The sequence below is a fragment of the Homo sapiens genome, chromosome 6, assembly GCF_000001405.40.
Source record: "Homo sapiens chromosome 6, GRCh38.p14 Primary Assembly".
NCBI lineage: Eukaryota > Metazoa > Chordata > Mammalia > Primates > Hominidae > Homo > Homo sapiens.
This window is the reverse complement of record NC_000006.12, coordinates 138,547,183-138,566,571: the sequence shown is the minus strand read 5'-3', so window position 1 is coordinate 138,566,571 and position 19,389 is coordinate 138,547,183. Positions and strand designations below refer to the sequence as shown.

At 41.7% G+C, this 19,389-nt stretch overlaps 1 protein-coding gene across 15 annotated transcripts in view; it reads left to right on the top strand.

Moving 5' to 3' along the window:
- The window catches only part of NHSL1 (NHS like 1), a 271,170-nt gene that overhangs the window by 126,641 nt on the left and 125,140 nt on the right, over positions 1-19,389 (top strand). The window lies entirely within an intron of this gene.

The following is a 19,389-nucleotide window of genomic DNA, read 5'->3' as shown; positions in this document are numbered from 1 at the left end:
CTTAAGAGTGATAAAAAGAAGCAACTTATTGTCAGGGCTTGAGTTTGGAAGTGAGTAACCTATGTTCTTTTCCATTAAAATGTCTTTGCTAAGTTATGGAAACCTTCTTTGAAACTGATCTTTATGAACAGTTTACTTTTTATTGATTGATTGATTGATTGATTGATTGATTTTGAGACAGAGTCTTGCTCTGTCGCCCAGGCTGGAGTGCAGTGGCACAATCTTGGCTCACTGCAGCTTCTGCCTCCCGGGTTCTAGTTATTCTCCTGCCTCAGCCTCCTGGGTAGCTGGGATTACAGGCACCCGCCACCACGCCCGGCTAATTTTTATATTTTTAGTAGAGACGGGGTTTCACCATGTTGGCCAGGCTGGTCTTGAACTCCTGACCTCAGGTGATCCGCCCACCTCAGCCTCCCAAAGTGTTGGGATTACAAGCGTGAGCCACCACGCCTGGCCAACAGTTTGTTTTTAATAATTTTAAAAGATCCTGCATGTTATCTAGGGTTAATTTTTATGTCTCATGCAATTATTATAAAATATATTTCCATGTAATTTCAGGGTGTTTTGGTTTAACTATAACATGTTCTGTCAAATTAGAGGGGTTTGTTTGTTTGCTTTTTTTTTTTTTAGAAACAGGGTCTTGCTTTGTTGCCCAGGCTGGAGTGCAATGGCACAATCATAGCTCCCTGTAACCTTGAACTCCCAGGCTCAAGGGATCCTCCCCGCTCAGCCTCCTGAGTAGCTAGGACTACAGGCACAGGGTACCATGCCTTTCTAATTTTTTATTTTATTTTATTTTATTTTATTTTTGTAGAGATGGGGTCTCTCTCTTTTGCTCAGGCTGATCTTGAACATCTGGCCTCAAGTGATCCTCCTGCCTTGGCCTCCCAAAATGCTGGGATTATAAGCCTGAGCCACCATGCCCAGCCTAGAGTTTTTTTTGAAAACTACAGTATTTTCTATCAAATACTTCAGTTTAATCTCCTAAAGGTCTGCTGTATTTGCACCTAGATGTCCGTCCTCATAGAGCGTAGGCCCTCATCAGCTCTTACTTGGACTTCTAAATGATCTTCTGTCCTCTCTTGCTTTCTCCACTCTTGTTCCCCTTTGATCCATCCATGAGTCTACACTGTCTCCAGAGTGATCTTCCTAAGATACAAAAACCAGCTGGGACCAGTGGCTCAAGCCTATAATCCCAGCACCTGGGGAGGCCGAGGTGGGAGGAACATTTGAACTCAGGGGTTCATGACCAGCCTGGCCAACATGGTGAAACCCTGTCTCTACTAAAAATACAAAAATTACTCGGGTTTAGTGCGGCATACCTGTAATCCCAGCTACTTGGGAGGCTGAGGCAGGAGAATCGCTTGAACCCAGGAGGCGGAGGTTGCAGTGAGCCGAGATCTCACCACTTCACTCCAGCCTGGGTGACAGAGCAAGACTCTGTCTCAGAAAAACAAGAAACAGAAAAACCCACAAAAACAACTGGATCACCTTTCTGTAGCTCCCCATTGCCTACAGAATGGAGCTTACATCACTTTACATGGCGTGAAACTTTACGGGATCTGCCTCCGTCCTCTCCCCTGCAGAACTAGCATACAGACTCATTGCTTTTTCACAACTCCAGAAACTGGCACCTCCCGTTCCCTCTTATTCCCTGTGCCAGGGTGCTCGAGTCGCCTCCCCTGCCTGTTGACCTCCTACTTATCCTTCTAGACTCGCTTTAAAACTCTGTGAAGTCTTCTCTAACATCCTCAGGCAGAGCTGATGGCTCTTGTCTCTATGTTATTTCTCTGCCTTCTTCATTCCTCTCTAATCGTGTTTATCATACACTGGCTTATGCTTACTTGTTTACTTGTCTGTGTCTTGAACTAGCCGTGACCTGTTTTAGGATGGAGACTCAATCTTATTTTTTTTTTTTTTATCCCCAAGGCTAAGTGCTCAATAAATGGTTGCTGAATGGGTAAACTTAACACATCTGGGACTCGATTAAATGGTGCTTTGTGCACAGGCTAATGTGCTAAGCAAATACTTTCTGAATTTGGCTTAGTCTGGCCAGTTTTTGTATTTTTAGTAGAGACGGGTTTCACCATGTTGGCCAGGTTGGTCTTGAACTCCTGGCCTCAAGTGATCCACCTGCCTCGGCTTCCCAAAGTGCTCGGATTACAGGCTTGGCTTGAGCCACTGCCTGTAATCCCTGTTTTGGGAAGATCACTCTAAAAACAGTGATGGATCAAAGGGGAACAAGGATGGATCAAAGGGGAACAAGGATGGATCAAAGGGGAACAAGAGTGGAGACAGCAAGAGAGGACAGAAGACCATTCAGAAGTCCAAGTTATAGGTAGCACTGTATGCTTATTCCCAGTGCTCTCAACTCTGGACTTTTTTGAGTGTAATAAAAGAGAGGGTTCTGTTTGTGGAAACATAATTTCGATGGCATACTTTTGGTGTTTTCTGTTGCTTCACACAAACTATGCATGTATCAAGCTCTTTGGATAAAAAAAAAATTTGATCAGGGCTGTTTTGACCAATTAGTAAAGTTGGCTTTAGTGAACAGAGATATGGAATTAACGATGCCAAGCCTGATAAGGAGAAGCTCCATTGTGCTAATGCAATCTTTTCTTAACTGGTTTCCCTGCTTTCACCTTTGTACACACCGCTCCCCTCCCCACCAATTGGTCTGATCTTAACCTAGCAGCCTCAGTGATCCTGTTAAACCTCAAACATGAGTCACGTGTAACTTCACTGCTTGAAACCCCTCAGGTGCTCTCCTTCTCCAGGGAGTTGAATAGCTAAGCCTTAACAATGCTCTCTTAAGCCCTATACATGCTGCTTCCCTTACCCCATTGCCTCCTTGTGCTTCCTCCTCACTCTCTCCTCCACACTGTAAAATGGGATAATACCTATTCATCATACATGCATACCAGTAGCAGGTACAATTTATTTATTGAATAAATGAATGTTTGTTTTATAGATATGCTGTAAGCCTACAAATTCGATCTATTGTATTTAATGATACTGGCCATTGGATTGATAATCTCTTCACTATCAATAGTCAGTTGAGTCAAAAAATGTCTTTATCCTAGTGTAGACTATGCTATTATCTAGAATTTCCAGTTGTGGAAGTGTCTTTGGAGTGCTTGTATAACCTAGGCAACTCAAGTGGAACCTATCACTTCCTTTACGTAATCCTTCAAGGAATTGGTATCTCAGTGTTGACGTCAAATCCTGAAATGATTAAAATACTAAATTGAAAGTCATGTCTGAATCAGTCGACCTATCCATAAGCTTAACAATAGCTAATATTTAGTGAATGTTTACCGTGGCGAGACACTATTATTAAAACTTTACATGAGTTCATTCATTTAATAAACATAGTCTGGATATCATAAGTGACCAATAAAAACAATAGTTGGTTTGGTAAGGAAGGGTCAGATCATTAGAGAGAACTGAAAACTGGGCAGAGAAACAGATGTGGGGAAGCAGGGAACTGAGTATAATTCTTCAGATGGAGAAATGACATTGAAAGCACCTAGGGCGTTTTGGCATCAAGGACTTAATAACTTTTGGTTTAAGGGCAAATACTCTGCTTTGAGAATATTTGAGTATGCACTTCATACTTCTCCTAGACTTGAAGCCCTTTGAAGTCTAGCCTTTTTCAAGTGCTTTGCACTTTGCAGATAGTAAGTAAATATCTATTGTGAATACTCGGTCGAAGCCGTATTGGAAGGAACCTGCTCTGGTTATGGCGTGCAGAAGGGATTGGAGCATTAGGGGTTAGAACCAGGTCATCTAGGGGCTGTCGTAACCGAGAAAAGACAAAGTTCTCGTTGAAGGGATTATATAGGCACATGAGGAAAAGTAGTAATGAAACCACAGATTTTCATGTTAGGCTATATATTTTTTTGTGTGTGAGACAGAGTCTTACTCTGTGCCCCAGACTGGAGTGGACTGGTGTGATCTCGGCTCACTGCAATCTCCACCTCCAGGGTTCAAACGATTCTCGTGCCTCCACCTCCCCAGTAGCTGGGATTACAGGTGTGTGCCACCACGCCTGGCTAGTTTTTGTTGTGGTGGTTGTTGTATTTGTAGTAGAGATGGCGTTTCACCATGTTGGCCAGGCTGGTCTCAAACTCCTGACCTCAGGTGATCCACCCGCCTCAGCCTCCCAAAGTGCTGGGATTACAGGCATGAGCGATCACACCTGGCCATGTTAGGGTATCTTTATTAAGAGAAGTCACAGATTTTCATAATTACTTTTTCCCTTAGCAACGGCATCTGTGATTTTTTCCAATGTATAGTTATACTTTTTCTAGCGTTGTGAACTATGGGTAGTCTTTACCTTATATTTCTAATCTCCCTAATTAAAGATTATATTTATGGCAATCACTGTTTTAATAAATGTGATTGGAAAATTTATGTGTAATCAACATACACACTGTTCATATACACAAATGTGTGTGGTGTGAGGCTGGGGATGCCTGAAGCTGGTTGCAGTGGTCTAGCTGTGGTCTGCCCCTCTTCAGCCTGTACCACACCTCTTCTCTGTTCCGTTGAATTCAGCATCTCTGAGCATTCTCTATCAGTTCATCGCTGACATTTGATGACTGACTAGTAGATATCATAGACATTAAACTAACATTTATTTACTTAGTTTTTGCTAAAATTCGTTACTGTGCTGGCTGCATCTTGCTTTGGATATTTAGGCTGTAAGAGAAATGGTGAATGCTTGCCTAGGCAAGCAGTTGTCTGAGACCATCTTCCCCCAGTGGTTGTAGGGGGAGGATTTGTTGGCCAAGTCTCCCAGCTAGTGCTTCCCCTACCAATACCATCATTTGCTGGGCTAATTTCTAGTGTTTGAGTGCATGCTTGGGCGTGTGCCTCATGTGGCGGGCACATCGTGGGTTCTTGTGTTTGGAGAGCCCCTAGTGCTGCATACACTTGATATAAAGCAACCTTCTGAGTAACTCACACTGAGGAGAGACCCTTTCCCAAAGTCAATGTGAAAATGGCTTGAATTGTGAAGTTACTGGGAGCAACCTGGCCTACAGGGCGTTTCCTAGAGTGGGAGCTCATTAGGATTAGTGGAATGAAGAGGGACTCTACTTTTCCATTTTCATGCCCTCTTATTTTTGAAAAAGACTGTATTGGGAATGGTAGTGAATGGAAGAAGGTGGCAGTAACCTGGAGGGAAGAGGAGGGAATAAGCTATAAGGAAAGAAGAGATCATCACTCCCATACTGATCCGGTTCCATGCCCCGCACCCGCCACCGCTTAGCTAAGACTTTTTGGATTCCCATCCCCTAAGTAATTGTGGTTTGTGGGAGCTTGGTCAAATTTCTGAATATGCTGCTTGCATCGCTAATTGTACACTTGTAGTATTGTAGGTTTGTTTTTATGTTTTAAGACATAGCTTAATAAGTTTTTGTGCATTATTGAAAAAGGTATAGAACAAGAATAAAGGCTAATCTATTCACTGGTTAAAATAATTTTAGTGGTACAGTAAATTGTCAGGCTTGGGCTTAATATATGTTTGGCTTTCTCGAAGGAAAACTCGCAAGTATTAATAAAAGCCACAAGCAGTTGAGATTTCTTTAAACAGTATCACTTGAGTTTTGTCTTTTCCATAAACTTGACTAGAGAACATGAGAATAAGTATATTTTATTGTCGATACAGTTCCCTTGCCTCTATTCCCTAAGCTTCTCTTTAACTTTGTAACTAGAAACGCCTCAGCTAAAGCAGAAACTGGGTATCTGGTGTTTCTGGATTGCCTTCTGAGATAAACCAGCATTCCTTCCTGAATACGGGTGGGTATTGCTTTAGTCTTGATTGGTCGGGGATTCTTTTACAAAGCAGACACAAGGCAATTTGTGAATTTACCTTGTGGGTGGTTGTGGCTGGTGCTTAGTTTGGTTGCTGTGATCATCTTGCCTGGTAGTTATTTATTTACATAAGTTTTTCACCAGTAGAAAGTACATAGAATGCTCTGACTTCCTGGAAAAAGAACTTTGATTTCTACCGTAAAGTCATTTCATTGCTGAGTTCTTCAACACACTCTATTCCCATTATAAAAAGATGTTTCAAATATTTTTTCCTTGCTAGCTTCCCAAGTCCAACTCTTTGTCCTTACGTGTGCATGCCTGAGTGTTGTTCTGTCATAAGGATCTTAGCTCTGTTCCATTTGCAAGCCACTTTTAAGCCACCGTGTCTCATTTGTGTGCTATTGATGCTTTATGAAGCTGGCGAGGTTGGGGTTTCTGTCTTTCGACATTGCTTTGGATCAGCAGACCTTGGTTACATCGCCACTCTGGAGAATGTGTTGGTTTATTCAGTTGATCTGTGTTCTTATGTCACTGTAACCAGGGGAAGGTTATGCCACTGACTTTAGAAATCTCGAAGGTTATGTTCCAACTCCAACTAATAATAAAGGTTTGAACAAAAATCCAATTAGTAAATTCTTCTCTAGTTTCTGAGAAAGTTGAGCTAGTTTTCTCTAGAATCCATGCTTGTTTCAAATGGGGGAAATAATCTCCTACAGGAACTATGGTGTGAATGTTTTGGGGTTTTCAGGGCCTGAAAAGTTTAATTATAGTTTATTTTTTAAGTCAGAGAGTTTAAAAAGTTTTGTTTGTGTCCAAAGTAATAAATACACTTTACATTGGTTCCCATGCCACACATGGCATATATGCATGGCATGCGTACATGGAATAGCTTTGTGGAATGATTTACCTTTACTGCGTGTCTACATATGGTACTCTGTTTTCTCTGTTTATTCTATTCTATGTTATCAAACAGAAAATGTCAGTCCTGACTTACTACTTGATTTTATGACCCTCAAAAATGGTGCTTTCGGTAGACTTCACTTTTTTCAGTAGGGTGTTATTATGCATGTGTATCACATAGCTTTTTTTTCTCAATATGTAGAAGTTACAAGCTATGATGGAATTTCTGTAGATAGTCCACTGTTGTCTTGGTGTTGGAGAAAGGCCTGGTATACCAGGAGTACTTTGAGAAACAGTGTAGAGTAGTGGTGCCTCTCAGAAAACCATCTGGTCCAAAACCCAGCTTGTGACTCTGAGCCACCTACGCATTCATCCACCATAGGAAGTCCTTTTCTGAGTTCCCCTCTGCGCCCCTAGTCCAGGACCCCGTTGGTGTATAAGCCTTGAAAGTTGGCAGCAGGACCGAGTGATTGCCAACAGGAGCCTTGCTGCCTGCTGCAGGGCAGTGTGGAAGAGCCTGCTGATGCACTCAGGCTGATTCCCTGCACCTGCTCACTGGCCCTAGGGAAAGCCCATGAATAGCAATGTCTGGCCAGTTTCTGCCCTGATCCTGTAGATTTCTCTGTCTTTATTTACCAGCCTACTGTCCATCCCCCATAGGGGAAAATTAGTTGTGAAGTTTAGTCCAAAACTTTAACTTCCAATTTTTGGATTCTAGCCTGTATGTAGCAGAGATCCTATGTTGGAACTGGAAAACAAAAGCAATGTTTTGGTGGTTTTCTTTTTTTTTTTTTCTTTTTAAAGAGATAGAGTCTCCCTCTGTCGTCCAGGCTGGAGTGCAGTGGTGCACTCATAGGTTATTGTAACCTGAACTCTAGGGCTTAAGGAATTCTCCTGCCTCAGCCTCCCAAGTTAGCTGGGACTACAGGGGCCTGCCGCCATGCCTGGCTAATTTATTTTATTTTGTTTTTTTGTAGAGAAGGGGTCTTGCTATGTTGCCCAGGCTGGTCTTCACTCTTAGCCTCAAGTGATTTTCCCACTTCAGCCTCCCAAAGTGCTGGGAATATAGGCGTGAGCCACTGCCTGGCTGTAGTGTTTTTTTTGAAACAGTTACTGTAAAAACTGGTAACTGGGGCCAGGCACTGTAGCTCGTGCCTGTAATCCCAGCACTTTGGGAAGCCGAGGCAGGTGGATCACGAGGTCAGGAGATCAAGACCGTCCTGAACATGGTGAAACCCTGTCTCTACTAAACATACAAAAATTAGCTGGGCATGGTGGTGTGCTCCTGTAGTCCCAGCTACTCAGGAGGCTGAGGGAGGAGAATTGCTTGAGCCCAGGAGGCGGAGGCTACAGTGAGCTGAGATTGTGCCACTGCACTCCAGCCTGGGCGACAGAGTGAGACTCTGTCTCAGGGAAAAAAAAAAAAAAAAGGGTGGGCACAGTGGCTTACCCCTGTAATCCCAGCACTTTGGGAGGCTGACGCAGGTGGATCACGAGGTCAGGAGATCGAAACCATCCTGGCTAACACGGTGAAACCACATCTCTACTAAAAATACAAAAAATTAGCCGGGCGTGGTGGTGGGTGCCTGTAGTCCCAGCTACTCGGGAGGCTGAGGCAGGAGAATTGCTTGAATCCAGGAGGCGGAGGTTGCAGTCAGCCGAGTCCGCACCACTGCACTCCAGCCTGGGCAACAGAACAAGACTCCATCTCAAAAAAAAAGCCCCCCAAAAAACCCTGGTAATTGGTTAGAGATACTTTTCTAAATTGTGATCATATAGACTAGATATTAACTTGTATAAAATACTAGAGAAGTATGCCTTTTACTTATTTGTAGTTCCATATAACAGAAGCTTGCCTCGTTCATCTTTCAGAATTCTAAAACAATTGAAAATATTTTTTAATGAACATCTTTCTAAAGTATAGTCTACACCCAGAGCCTGTTTACAGGTCATGGTTTGTGCAGTAGTCATGCATGGTCTTTTTTCATCGTAAGGATAGTTCTGTGGGAGTGGCAGGACAGGTGGCATTGCCCCTTTTTGTTGTGAGCAAGCAGTTCCTGCAATATTAAGACTTGCCTGAAGCCATAGAGATAATTGGTATAGACTGGATTTGAATCCACTTCTCGTGACTTAGTCCCACACTCTTCATGACACTTCAACAACTCTGCTCAATCAAAGAGTACAATTTAACCTCGTTTTAATGCCCTGGTGTCACTGTGACTAGTCATTGGACCTGGTGATGCCCTGATGGCCGCTGAATATTGTAGAGATCTTTGCTTTGGCATGAAATGGATCTCTGCAGTGTTCTTTAACTTCCAGTGACTGTTTTGTATTTCACTTTTGCTGGAAGCCTTTCTCTTTCGACAGTGTACTTGCACCTGTCTCTGGTAGTCCCCACCACTCTTTGGCTTGGTGTTGCTCCTGTGTTACCTTGTGTGGGGGGGTCTGGGTAACCCAGTGTATTGCAACAGTATTGACTGGAAGATGCATGAGATCCCGAGCCACAATCCTGTGGGCAGTGCTGTCTGGTGGGAGGCCATTTTGATTTCTTCTTTGCCATATTTTGAGTGGTTGAATTTGTCAGCAAAATGATCCGTTGATAAGTGGATGTTACTCTAATATGTAACTATGTTTTTTACATGTTTATCTTCTGTTGGCTTTTCGTTTTGGTACGGTGGAATAAAGTACATGTTTGTGTTAACATCATGGACCGGTGACTGTATTTGGCCATCCCAGTGTTTTCTGTAAACATTACATTTTAATCACTCCTGTAAAAATCACTCCGAGTTTTCAAGGAGGATTATCATCTACTGCTTTGTTTCACTTACTAAGCAAGTATGCTTTTAAACCTTGATTTCACCATTAACCACTTTCTCTAATTACTTGTTGATTGTCACTCTCTTTTCTCCATCTGATATGTAGACACCAAGTTTATTTACTCATTTTTCATTTGGTTGAAATTGCATCCCCCAGATTTCTATTTCATGTTCTTGTTTGTATCCTCTATATTTAAAAAGTCAAGAAATAGTGAAGGTAAGACGTATTTCAATTATTTAAAACCACTTCTACTCTACTAAACATTTTTGGCCAAATACTTTAAACGATATTTGAGCCTCATTAATGCGAATGGGAATGATATAAAATGTGGCTGAAAAAGCTGATCTGACCCTCTGGTTTTCCATGAATTTGTTAATGAACCACTAATATCCCAGTGCAGAGAATTCACATGACTTTTTACTAGTTTGTGTTGAAATGCTATAATCCCCATTTTGCATCCTAGATCCACAGTGTTTGCTCAATGAGTATTTTGATTTGCACATAGGAGACCTACAAAAATGTTTAAATGCAACCTGAATTAATTGAAAATAGAGATTACAGAAAATTCTGTGACTCAAGAAATGGGGCTCAGAGAAAAGAAAAATAGTTATTTTTCTACAATGACAATGACAATAACAATGACAGAAGCATTGTTATTCCTTCTGTCATTCTCTAAACATTGAAGAATTGACAGAAGAGTCTCACTCCTGATAGGAAAAGCTTTTGGTACTTTACATAGTTACTCTCTATTTTGGTTGTAAAATATCAGAGATGATGATAGTTTTAAAGATGTCTTTCTTTTCTAATGAAATGAAAACTCAAAGAATTCTGACTTTTGTGTTTACCTAATGAGAGAAATCAACTTTAGTAATTATTTAGAGAGAGCTCTTATTGAAGCAATGACCACACATTTTCTTCTCTCGGTGCCATTTGAAGCATTTTAGTAAATATATGTACACAGTCTTTAAATTGGACATGTGAAGGGATCCAAGTAGAGTTAGCTTAACAACAAGGCTAACTAACGTGTCAGGGCTGGAAGGAACCTCCGAGATACCCTGTCTGATCCCTTGTTTGGCAGCTAAGAAGGGAGGATGCAGAAAAGTGAGTTAGCTTGCTCAAGGCCTGTACCCAACAGGGCCCAGTGAGGCTATGTCCTTACATTCCTTTGTCCCCTCTTAAGGTATTGAGAGTGTGTTCCTTTCTGTTAGTCTCTTTAATTTTGACATTCCTGACTGCCCTGTGAGGGTCAAGTGACAAATTCCTTTTCTGACCTTACAGAGCAGGTTTTGGAAGCGTCTGAGTCACTCTGTATCACACAGAAAGTTTTCTAAGCAGATATGCAGAAGATAAGCAACTTACCATAGCAAAGACAAAAGAGGAAGAACGCCAGTCCTGAAAACAGGCTTTCTCATGTCACTTTTATTCCGCACAAGAACAGAATTCATTCAGTTTTCAAAGAATGAAAGAGGAAAAAGAAAACAAAAACAAAAAACCAACCCAAGGGCACCAGGCTGCAGCCTTTCTTTGTTAGGAACTGAAGTCCCTAGAGACAGTTGAGTAACTTAATAGAGCTGTCAGAAGCACACCTGCCTCGAAAGCAATAGAAGCATTTTAAAACTTTAAACTTAGCATTCTATTTTTGACTTGGAACTTTTTCCCTCTTGAGTGGCTGTAGACTTATTATAGTTAATAGCTGAGTTTACAAAGATGCATTAAATAGAAATAGAACGCAAAGGAAATCCCAGCCATTACCATGAACAAAATGGTAAGTTACTTCTACTAGAACTTTACTGACTTTAAGCTAGAGAGAAAGAGAAAGAGAGAGGTAAAACAAAAATCAAAAAGGAAAAGGCTCAGATCATGTTCGGCATGATCAAGAGGAGGGTCAGAAGAGCTGTTTTTGTGGGCCGCACCGTGCTCTGTGGATCTTGTAACTCTGGGATTATTATGCACCGTGGCAAGACTCCACCCCTGAAGATGGTCTGCCGATTTGAAGAATCATTTTCTTGCTTATTTTTAAACTCTTAAAGACAGGGAAAAAGACTGAAGGAGCCTAAATGCTGTGGTTTCCTCAAACCATTATTGTTGTAAATCCTATGGGTCCTGAAGTAACTCACTATTCCTGAAGTTTCAAACTGCCTCACGACTCAGAAGCCTTGGCAGTTGAAAGGGAAATTATTAGCTTCTTCCTTGAAACGTTGTCACTAAGGTTAAAGGGGGACAAAAGTTGGTGAATGTGGTGAATTTCAGAAGTAAACTACCTTTTTATAGAAATTCCATAGTTCTTTACAGAGCTTTGAGTTTTTCAAATACTTAGTTGGTTTCAAAACACAATATTTTAAACAAGTAGGCCTTAAAGAAATTAAATATTAGAATAATGTATTCAATTATCTATGCAGAAGTTACCAGAAGCCTGGACATTTACCTTGGCGTACCTTGCTCTTAATATCTTAGTATGTCTTCTGGAATTTTATCTTTTTGTTTGATGATTAAAAGTAATTATAGTCCAGTTACGCTCTCTGGTTATGTTTTATTAACACATATATTGTGGCAGAACTGTGGTCCGCCTGGTTGATTGGTACATGAACTTGAATAATTCTTGATTTTGTGGGTGGAGAAGTTGCACCTGTTTCTGTAGTTGAAGGTTGGTTATGGTTTTTACTTCCTCAGATTACTCAGATGCTTAGGAGAAAATGACACAAATGACTTTTTTTGGTGGGTGGAGGGTCCCGTTGATCTGTATACATTGCAAGTCAGTTTATCAGGGAGCACGTTGAAGAAATACACAACGTGAAAGGACCTACTGTTGTATCTTTCCTATGAGGTTATTTTTATGTGCTTTAACCTAAACCCTCTGAAATATAATACACATATGTTAGGCATAGTGGCAATGGCAAAGAGAAAACAATTTAGACTCCAGTGGTTTTGTTTTTCTCTCCTATAATACAGTTCCTTATAAGTTTACTAAGAAAGGGAATTTGGGGACATTATTATGACATCTTTCGGTATCCTCCCTCCATCTGGACATACTGGTGTTAATTCTTTTGTAAGAGATATTTCCAGAAAATATTTTTCTTCCTTTTTCACTTCCATCATCCTTCAAATATTTAATTCAGGCAGAATGAGAGTAGGAAAAACTGCTTTCTGAGTTTGTTGTGGTGAAGTTGCCTGGAGAGAGAATGGTATCTGTGTTTGTGTGTTTGTAAATGAGACTCTTTCAGATTATTAATCCTTTAAGGAAATGATAGTTTATAAAGATTTCACCATAAAGTTTAACTATAAATGATCACTGACTTTTCATTTAATAATGAGTTTTAATACCGTCATGTGTAGGGAAAATACATCTATTTAATTGTAAGGAAAATATGACTTTTCATAGGAATCTATGCTGGTGGTTATGTGTCTTATCTAGGTTTTATATACTTTCCACTAATGATTTGCTTTTGGATGAAATAGCAAAGTAATAATAATTCTGCTTTACATATCTGTGCAACAAACATGGATCACCTATCATGTTCCAGCACCCTGAAAAGTACCAGAAGTTAAGTGTGAATGAGCAAGTTGCTGCTTTAAGGATCACTCACGTTGGGTGGGCAGAATTGTAATACCATGCCAGCCACGTGAATGAAGTGCCATGGGACATGGTGCAAGCTTGAGATTGATCCTGCTACTGGAGAGGAGCATGGTTAGATGAGGCTTTAGAGAAGTAAAAAGCAGAGTATGGGGGTAAGGGCTGCATTCCAGACAAAGGAGGCAATAGCCTGATTCAAGACAATAGAGGTACAAGACCCTATGGAATATGACGCAGAGCTTACCAAGGGGGTCACTTAATGGGATACATCCAGAATAGTTTGGAAAAAAATACTGAGTACAAGTCCAGACAGGCCTTTATTTGCTACATGAGGAATTTAGGATTTATCCTTATCTTGTGTTTTTTACATAAGTAGAAACGTGATTTTTTTTTTCCTCTGGAGGGAAAGGATGGTGCAATTGGAGTTCTTTTGGAAAGATGTAATAGGTGTGAAGGTGGATTAAAAGGTCAGATTTCGAAAGAAAAAATATCAACTACAAAGGTACCAAGGAGTACTCTGTCTCAAAGAAACATCTCAGCCATAGGCACTATGCTTTGAAGCGACATCAGGGCTGGATAAATGGCACAAGGTTCCATAATAAAATCTCCTTTCTGCACTGTTGCTCATGAGGTGTCACTGTGCTTCTGAGGAAATGAGTGGAGTTACAGACTGGAGCTCAGTGGACAGCAGTGGAAGTCAAGGCAGCTTGCCACAGCTAAGGGCAACCGAAAGAGGCTGGAAGGTTATCTAAGCCAAGAGCCCAGGTCAACTTGGAAACTCATCTTTACCTTCCCTGGGAAGATGAAACCAGAAGGACCTAAAGGTTCTTACAAAAAAAGAGAAAAATCTAACACTTTGAGTGTTAGGAGAGCCAGCTAGGGTGCCATGAGTGAAGGCACAAATTTCATGAAAAGGAGCCAAATGAGGGCTACTTTCTTGACTGATGTCAAGAGACCTAGGCTTGGCTATGAAGGAAAAAAAAGTTGAAATAACCTCAAGAACTGGCTCAGGAGGGTGTATATAGATATCTATATATCTCCTGGGGGATGGAGCCTCACTTTGTCCCCCAGGCTGGAGTGCAGTGGCATGATCTCAGCTCACTGCAACCTCCACCTCCCGGGTTCAAGCGATTCCCCTGCCTCAGCCTCTTGAGTAGCTGAGACTTAGAGGCGTGCACCACTATGCCCAGCTAATTTTTGTATTTTGAGTAGAGACGAGGTTTCACCATGTTGGCCAGGATTGTCTTGATCTCCTGACCTCGTGATCCGCCTGCCTCGGCCTCCCAAAGTGCTGGGATTACAGGCATGAGCCACCATGCCCGGCCCCAGGAGGGTATATTTTTAAATGGCGAATTAGAGCAGAGCTCCCATGATTCAGGGAGGAAATACAGTGATGTGAATGTGTCTACCCAAGGCCAGAGGCCATTGAAGAGCCTCCATGAAGCATTTGTGTAGTTGCCTTACTGCTCCATGGTTAGTTTGAGTCCAGCACAAAATACCCCAGGATTCAGCTGTTTCCTAAAAGAAAATGCAAAGAGGATGAAGGTTGCCCTTGGGACTCAGTAGGTCAGGCCTGGCTCTGGAGTGGAGTAAACTCAAACAGGATACAGGCTCGGATGATGTTGGTGAGAGGCAGTGTCCAGAGCAAAAACCCGCGTTCCATATTCCCCTGCCTACAGAGCTGGATGGACTGAAGGCACTAAAATGGAGACTGGTTTTAAATCAGTTTCCCTGGTGAGCCAGGGAGACAGTGAAATTAGCCAGTTTAAAGTTATAATGCTATAATTTTTTTCTTCTTTCTGTTGTGCCTGAGGTAGTAATAAATATATAGAAAAACCCAGATTAAATCTCTTGTCTGAGAGATTCAGAATACTGGTGAAACTAGAAGTATTGTAGAATAGTAGGGGAGTGGAGAATGATTAAAACTTGGGTAAAATGTGTTAGTCATGGTCATAGGTGCCACCAGAGTGGATTCTTCTCTAGGGAATTGGCTTAACCTGGTCATTGTCATCTTAAAAGTGTCAGAGGGTTTCAGCATCTCCAATCTCTTGCATCCAGGGGGAAATGGAAAGCACTGTGATGGGAAATATGTCTTCAGTCTCCTCCAACTTCACAAGCTTCTCATGCTTTAAAAGCATGTCTAGAGATATGGCTATGAAAATAAGCATTGCCTGTCTGAATACAGTAGCCCCACCTTATCCTTGGGGGATACGTTCGAAGATCACCCAGTGGATGCCTTAAACCACACATAGTACCAAACCCTATATATACTATATTTTTCTTATACATCCATACCTATGATAGTTTATGAATTAGGCACAGTAAGAGATTAACAACATAACTATAACAAAATAGAAAAATTATAACAGTATGCTGTAATAAAATTAATATAAATGTGGTCTCTTTCCCTCTGTCTTGATATCTCTCTCTGTTTTAATATTTTTGGACCTCAGTTGACCAGGGGTAACTGAAAGTACTGAAAGCAAAACCTCGGATAAGAGAGGACTACTGTACTGTACTTTGCAGCTGAGGTGAAACAGACTTGTGAATGGGTATGGAGAAGGATTTTTCCATCTTTATCTGGGCTTTTTGGCAAGAGTAAGAGGATACATAGGGAGGAGATATGGTTTGCCTGTTTTGCTTGTATAATTTTGTTTTGTGTTTTGCCAGGAATGAAGTCAAATTTTGAGCTGATCTAGACGCACTAATTCTGTGTATTATGCAAACTAATTTCTAATTTATTCTCATCCCCACTATTTTATGGAAATCAAAATTAAACTGGTAGCACACAAGTGAAATCACACTGGAGTGGTTTTGAAGACATAATTATCTAAATATTTTTGGCTGCATGTGTGGATACCACTCCCTCTTGTAGAGATAATAATGTTAAACTTTAACATGATGCTGGATGTTGTAATCCTACAAGGGAGAGAAGTGGTTGCCGCCCTAAGGTCATGGTTGGCAAAGGCCAGACCTTTGTGCTGTCCAGAGGACTACAAATCCTGTGAGTGTGCATCATCTTGGACCTACTCCCTTTCACAAAGCTTCCTAGGTATTTATTTTTCAGTCTCAGTAGCAATGATCAATGGTGTCAGACAATCATAATTTCAATGGATAGTTCTTATTTTTTCCTAGTTTGAACAGTGTGCCTTTTCATGTTTTATTCTCAGACATACAGTTGTAAACACAAGGGCTTTTTAAAATTATTTTATTATTTTTTTTTTGGAGATAGAGTCTCACTCTGTTGCCCAGGCTGGAATACAGTGGCACGATCCCAGCTCACTGCAACCTCCGCCTCCCAGGTTCAAGCAATTCTCCTGCCTCAGCTTCCGGAGTAGCTGGGATTACAGGTGTACGACACCACACCTGGCTCATTTTATATTTTTAGTAGAGATGGGGTTTCGCCATGTTGGCCAGGCTGGTCTTAAACTCCTTACCTCAGGTGATCAGCCTGCCTTGTCCTCCTAAAGTGCTGGGATTATAGGCATGAGCCACTGTGCCCGGCCCACAAGGGATTTTTTTTTAATATGATAACTTTATATTTGACATTAAGAAAAACCCCTTTTGTTGTCATTGCTCGAGGTTAATGCTGTGAAGTTTTCAGATAGTGATACCTATAATTTCAGCAATTTAATAGAGGTTGGTATGTGTGCTGTTTAGAAGTGCTATAACATTTTGCTGCAGTAAGTACAAGGGTATGGAAAAAATAGGTTTTAAGCCTATGTAAACATAAATTGAAGACGATTTAAAAGAAAAACAAATCATGCCCATCTCACGTAATTATTACCTTGCTAAATGTATAAGTTCCCTAGAGTCACTGTAACAAATTACCCCAAGCGTGGTGGCTTAAAATAACCAGTTTATTCTCTCCCTATTTAGGAAACCCGAGTTCTAAAATCAAGGTGGTAACAGAGTCCTGCTCCCACCAGAGGCAGTATGGGAGAATTCTGTCCTGCCTCTTCCAGCTTCTGCTGGTTCCAGGTGTTCCTTATCTGTGACAGCATCCCTCCAGTCTGTGCCTCCATCTTTTATGACCTTCACTGTGTCTCTGTATCCTTTTCTGTCTCTCTCTCTTTTTTTGAGACAGAGGTTTGCTCTTGTTGCCCAGGTTGGAGTTCAATGGCGCAATCTTGGCTCACTGCAACCTCCGCCTCCCAGGTTCAAGCAATTCTCCTGCCTCAGCCTCCCATGTAGCTGGGATTACAGGCATGCGCCACTACGCCTGGCTAATTTTGTGTTTTTAGTAGAGACAGGGTTTCTCCATGTTGGTTAGGCTGGTCTCGAACTCCTGACCTCAGGTGATCCACCCGCCTTGGCCTCCTAAAGCGCTGGGATTACAGGCATGAGCCACCATGCCCGACTCCATTTTCTCTCTTATTAGGACACTGTGAGTGGATTTAGGGCCCACCTTAATGCAGTATCATCTCATCTTGATTCTTACCTTCCTTAACTTATGAAGACTTTATTTCCAAATAAGTTCACACTCTGAGGGTGGACATGAATTTGGGGTGGACACTATTCAACCCACTACATTAAATTATATATGCTTTAACTTTAGGAGAGTAGCTTAATGAGATGGCAGTAGGCAAGAACTACCATTGATCATTATTAATTTTGTGTATTCTTCTGTTATGTGACTTACCACACTGAATTATATTTATTCCACTCATCTCTTGCACTAAACCACAAGAAGGCAAAGATTCTTTTCCTGTGACCTGACATAATGTACCTAATAGTATGTGTGTGTATTCATACCAAAAATAAAAAATTATTGAGTTAAGATGGAACCTTAGAGTTAATTTAGTCCCCTTGTTCTATTCAGTCCTCACATTTACAGGCCATGAACTGCTGTGAGACTAACTATTAGGGCATCCAATCTTTTGGCTTCCCTGGGGCCACATTGGAAGGAGAAGGATTGTCTTGGGCCACACATAAAATACACCAACCGTAATGATAGCTGATGAACTTAAAAATTGCAAAACAATCTCATAATGTTTCAGAAAGTTTACAAATTTGTGTTGGGTCACATTCAGAGCTGTCCTGGGCTGCATGTGGGCCACAGGTTGGACAGACTTGAACTAGATAGTCATATAGATATGACTGGAATGAGATTCTCTTTACTTTTCAGTCCACTATACTTTCCAGCATATAAAGTCATCTCTGTTTAAAAAGGCTTAAACTGCCAGGTGCAGTGGCTCACGCCTGTAATCCCAGCATTTTGGGAGGCTGAGGTGGGTGGATCACGAGGTCAGGAGTTCAAGACCAGCCTGGCCAAGATGGTGAAACCCTGTCTGTACTACAAATACAAAAAAAAATTAGCCGGGCATGGTGGCGGGCACCTGTAGTCCCAGCTACTTGGGAGGCTGAGGCAGCGAATTGCTTGAACTCAGGAGGTGGGGGTTGCAGTGAGCCAAGATCGTGCCACTGCACTCCAGCCAGAGTGAGACTCGGTCTCATTAGCCTGTGTTCAAAAGTCTTAAGTCTCTAAGGTAGGAGTTCCTTTCTCTCTCTGTACAATTTGAAAAGTTAAATGTAACCCATGAAAATATTTTCAGGAATACCTCTGTAATTCGTAAATTACATGGGAGAGACTACTCAGAACAGGAGAGGACAGAGAATAACTCAGATCAGCCATGGAGAGAGTCCCGTGGTGAGATGGAAGAGGCTAATCAGCTGGTCTGGTTTTGATCTTGTTTGTTAGGTGAATCAATCACCTCATGGTTTACACAAATGAAATGAGCTATGAGGTTCCCTCCCATTCTGTTCTAAGAGTTAATATCAGGCCGGGGATGGTGGCTCACGCCTGTAATCCCAGAACTTTGGGAGGCCGAGGCGGGTGGATCACAAGGTCAGGAGATCGAGACCATCCTGGCTAAAATAGTGAAACCCTGTCTCTGCTAAAAATACAAAAAAACATTAGCCGGGCCTGGCGGCGGGCGCCTGTAATCCCAGCTACTCGGAAGGCTGAGGCAGGAGAATGGCGAGAACCTGGGAGACGGAGCTTGCAGTGAGCTGAGATCACACCACTGCCCTCCAGCCTGGGCAACAGAGTGAGACCCTCTCAGGGGAAAAAAAAAGAAGAAGAAGCGTTAATATCACTGTTCATCATTCCCCATGCAGTTTTTTTTTTTTTTAATCCTAACTAGCTTCTGGCTAGAGACCTCTTATATATTCTTGTGATCATAGAAACTAGTACAGTGACTTCCTTATGGTAGACAACATATTTATTACCCAGGTGCTATTGGTGATTCATGGTGACAGGGAGCAGAAACCCAGCTGGG